This window comes from Homo sapiens, chromosome 4, assembly GCF_000001405.40.
Source record: "Homo sapiens chromosome 4, GRCh38.p14 Primary Assembly".
NCBI classification, from domain to species: Eukaryota; Metazoa; Chordata; class Mammalia; order Primates; family Hominidae; genus Homo; species Homo sapiens.
The window spans coordinates 69,539,169-69,544,442 of record NC_000004.12 but is presented as its reverse complement, the minus strand read 5'-3'; positions in this window follow the sequence as shown (position 1 = coordinate 69,544,442).

The window sequence follows — 5,274 nt, the reverse complement described above, 5'->3', positions numbered from 1 at the left end:
TGAAAAAAAGAATGCATGCTGTATGATGAAAGGTGATGTATGTAATGTACCTGTGGCTGGCTAGAATCTTAGGGACTGATGCCATGCTGAGGAGGGGTCAGGTTGACATCTGCTATTAACATATTGACCATGTAGCAGCTGTAACAGCCAGATCAGCCTTGATGGGGTAAAGTCCATGTCATAAACTTATATATAGTCTCTGTCCTAGACACCATTGCTCCTTTTTAAAAATAAACTTTATGGTCCCCAGAGTGTGATGTTCCCCTTCCTGTGTCCATGTGTTCTCATTGTTCAGTTCCCATCTATGAGTGAGAACATGTGGTGTTTGGTTTTTTGTCCTTGCGATAGTTTACTGAGAATGATGATTTCCAATTTCATCCATGTCCCTACAAAGGACATGAACTCATCCTTTTTTATGGCTGCAGAGTATTCCATGGTGTATATGTGCCACATTTTCTTAATCCAGTCTATCGTTGTTGGACATTTGGGTTGGTTCCAAGTCTTTGCTATTCTGAATAGTGCCGCAATAAACATACGTGTGCATGTGTCTTTATAGCAGCATGATTTATACTCCTTTGGGTATATACCCAGTAATGGGATGGCTGGGTCAAATGGTATTTCTAGTTTTAGACCCCTGAGGAATCGCCACACTGACTTCCACAATGGTTGAACTAGTTTACAGTCCCACCAACAGTGTAAAAGTGTTCCTATTTCTCCACATCCTCTCCAGCACCTGTTGTTTCCTGACTTTTTAATGATCACCATTCTAACTGGTGTGAGATGGTATCTCATTGTGGTTTTGATTTGCATTTCTCTGATGGCCAGTGATGATGAGCATTTTTTCATGTGTCTTTTGGCTGCATAGATGTCTTCTTTTGAGAAGTGTCTGTTCATATCCTTTGCCCACTTTTTGATGGGGTTGTTTTTTTCTTGTAAATTTGTTTGAGTTCATTGTAGATTCTGGATATTAGCCCTTTGTCAGATGAGTAGGTTGCGAAAATTTTCTCCCATTTTGCAGGTTGCCTGTTCACTGTGATGGTGGTTTCTTTTGCTGTGCAGAAGCTCTTTAGTTTAATTAGATCCCATTTGTCAATTTTGGCTTTTGTTGCCATTGCTTTTGGTGTTTTAGACATGAAGTCCTTGCCCATGCCTGTGTCCTGAATGGTAATGCCTAGGTTTTCTTCTAGGGTTTTTATGGTTTTAGGTCTAACGTTTAAGTCTTTAATCCACCTTGAATTAATTTTTGTATAAGGTGTAAGGAAGGGATCCAGTTTCAGCTTTCTACGTATGGCTAGCCAGTTTTCCCAGCACCATTTATTAAATAGGGAATCCTTTCCCCATTGCTTGTTTTTCTCAGGTTTGTCAAAGATCAGATAGTTGTAGATATGTGGCGTTATTTCTGAGGGCTCTGTTCTGTTCCATTGATCTATATCTCTGTTTTGGTACCAGTACCATGCTGTTTTGGTTACTGTAGCCTTGTAGTATAGTTTGAAGTCAGGTAGTGTGATGCCTCCAGCTTTGTTCTTTTGGCTTAGGATTGACTTGGCGATGTGGGCTCTTTTTTGGTTCCATATGAACTTTAAAGTAGTTTTTTTCAATTCTGTGAAGAAAGTCATTGGTAGCTTGACGGGGATGGCATTGAATCTACAAATTACCTTGGGCAGTATGGCCGTTTTCACGATATTGATTCTTCCTACCCCTGAGCATGGAATGTTCTTCCATTTGTTTGTATCCTCTTTTATTTTGTTGAGCAGTGGTTTGTAGTTCTCCTTGAAGAGGTCCTTTATGTCCCTTGTAAGTTGGATTCCTAAGTATTTTATTCTCTTTGAAGCAATTGTGAATGGGAGTTCATTCATGATTTGGCCTCTGTTTGTCTGCTATTGGTGTATAAGAATGCTTGTGATTTTTGTACATTGATTTTGTATCCTGAGACCTTGCTGAAGTTGCTTATCAGCTTAAGGAGATTTCGGGCTGAGACAATGGGGTTTTCTAGATACACAATCATGTCGTCTGCAAACAGGGACAATTTGACTTCCTCTTTTCCTGATTGAATACCCTTTATTTCCTTCCCCTGCCTAATTGCCCTGGCCAGAACTTCCAACACTATGTTGAATAGGAGTGGTGAGAGAGGGCATCCCTGTCTTGTGCCAGTTTTCAAAGGGAATGCCTCTAGTTTTTGCCCATTCAGTATGATATTGGCTGTGGGTTTGTGGGGTGGGAGGAGGGGGGGGGGGATAGCATTAGGAGATATACCTAATGCTAAATGACGAGTTAATGGGTGCAGCTCACCAACATGGCACATGTATACATATGTAACTAACCTGCACATTGTGCACATGTACCCTAAAACTTAAAGTATAATAATAAAAAAAAATTTAAAAAAAGAATAAGAAAAAAAACACACACAAAAAAATAAAAAAAAAATAAAGATACACAAACTTACTAACTATCCACCTAAGAGTGTACACGGATTTGCATCCAACCACAAACTCCTGCTACAGGATATTATTAAGGTTTATTTAAAAATGTAAAGCAATAACACAAATTTTCCTCACTGTTAAAGAAAATAAAATTCATTTGAAATGAAAAAAAAAATAAATAAACTTTACGATCAAATTCTGGATGTCTGGAGGAAAAGACTGATTTCCATAGGACTGCTTATTCAATCCACCTTATTGCTGAGGCAATTCCTAGAGTGCATGCCTTCTAAGTAATTTCTGCCAATTACAAGAGGTAAACCCACATAAGTCTACCTCTAATATTCTTTCCATTAATTTTTCACTAAGATTATTTCCATATCCTTAACAAACTAGTCAATTCATTAGGTACTACCTATGATTCTGTAGATCTGTAACACAGGCCATTCTCTGCTCCTCCCCCTCCCAAAGAAAAGACAGTTATTTACATGTCCTGCTTGATATTCTGCCCTTTAGAAGGATTTTGTTTAATTTTTTCTTTTCTGTTTTTTTTCTTTCTTTCTTTTTTTTTTTTTTTTGAGATGGAGTCTCCCTCTGTCGCCCAGGCTGGAGTGCAGTGGGGCAATCTTGGTTCACTGCAAGCTCCACCTCCTGGGTTCACGCCATTCTCCTGCCTCAGCCTCCCCAGTGGCTGGGACTACAGGTGCCCGCCACCACACCCAGCTAATTTTTGTATTTTTAGCAGAGATGGGGTTTCACCATGTTAGCTAGGATGGTCTTGATCTCCTGAGCTCGTGATCCACCCGCCTCGGCCTCCCAAAGTGCAGGGATTACCAGCGTGAGCCACCGCGCCTGGCCTGTTTAAATATTTTTTTAAGAGACACTCCTGAGTAGGACTGTAACCCTGTGTTTTGTTTTTTAAATTAGAAATTACCCTATGAATCTCTAGGCAGGTTTAGTGAGATTGGTTTAGAAACATTGTTCAGCTCCATGAGAGCCTTATCCATTTGCTAAAGTGATTTACTTGTTTTTCTGAAATTTCTCAGTCCTTTTCTTATATTTGTATGTTCATTAACAGTAGAATATTGCTGTTAATGTTCAGTTATATTTTTTTTGTTGTCACAACAGAATGACCATGTCAGGTAGCACAGGTTCTTGGTGCCCATGGACAAATATTAATAGTAAGTATCCACCAGAACTCGATAGTAAATCAGGGACTGTTTTTCTAATGGAGAAGACATTTCAGGAAAATAGGTGATAGTTTAGCTCCAAAATCCTGAGATTCTCTTACTAGATTTTGTTAAAGTTTTATTTAACTTTAGTATCTACTACCTACATAGGAAGTGAACTTGGAATTTCTGAGTTATAAGATGAATGTCACCAGTTGTCTATAGGCAACCTACTCATCTATCTATGTATCTATGTATCTATCTATGTATCTGTGTATGTATGTATGTATGTATCTAATCTGTCTCTCTATTTATCTATCCATCTATCTATCATCTATCTATCTAATCACACACACACACACGTTCACTACCTGTATAAGATATGTAAGATATGTGTGTGTCTACACATAGGATATCTACTTCATATACTCATAAAAGATGAAGCAATATCATCGTAGGCTGTTCATACATTTTATTCCAAAAAATAATGTGAGCAATTAGGCAATGCCCCAGCTACCTGTAAATTGAAACACTCTACAATTTCCATCCTGCGGCTGGATTTGGTACTTTTCCAAATCAAGTATTTTGTAGTTAATATAACCTAACCAGCCTCTACCATTATGGGTGTCTATTATTTCCACTGAAATTGTGGATCCCAGTTTTGTTGCAGCATCTTTCACTTTCATCTTTACCCTACAGAATAAAAACACAACAGAGATTTTCAAGGATATTGATATACTTAGCACGAATGCATTTTTTTAATGTCACTGAGATGGTGAAATGGATTCTGAGCATATTGCACATAATACATCTCCTCTAACATTCCCATTTCCCTCAGCCTATAGGTTATTTTCATGTAGAATATCAAAAATGTTATCAAATTTCAACTTTATTTACTATAAGGCATGTTACATCCAGGCTTTAATTATCCAACCAAATGCCTGATAATGACATAATTAAGTATTTGGACCAATACATTAACTTCAAAGTTGTGGATAAATGCATCTTTATAAACAGTTGGCCTGATAATATATTATTTTTCATAGTTTTTCCTTAACATGAAAAATGAGCCGCTAGTTCAGTCCATCAAAGTGATAAAACTGTGCCTCATGTTGCTGTATGTGTGAGTGGACTTTGCAATTCTCTTCTTGAAGTGAAGCATTCAGAAGTGGTAGAGTTGGATCTTCTGGGAACCGTAGTTTCCCTTGCTAGAACACTATTCCATGCTAAGTTATTACAAAGTCTTACACAACACAAAATTAGTGTTTTCAGATAGAGAAGGAGGGTATCATTTAGCCCATAAAAGAAGTCCAAGGAGCTTTAGAAGTACAAGTTTCTAAGTTCTCTGTGTCTGCTGAAATATCCCTCTCTAAATCTCAGAGTCCCCCTCATTTCTACTCAGTTTCCTGATGTAACATTAGGCAAATTAGAGACATATATGAGCTTGCACATTGAACAGTTATTGCAATTCACCACTACAATTAGATAATTAGATTTGGGGCCTGATAGTCATGATTTCAATTTGGCTACATGATATTAAGCATTACTTACAACTTCCTTCCATAGAGGTTTTTTTTTTTCTTCTTTCATGAGTTGAAAATTCAAAGCCCTAAACTAATCTTTTATTTTTTATCTATGTATTTTCCAACTTAAAAAAACACTCATTCTTTGTGCCTCTTTGATCAGCA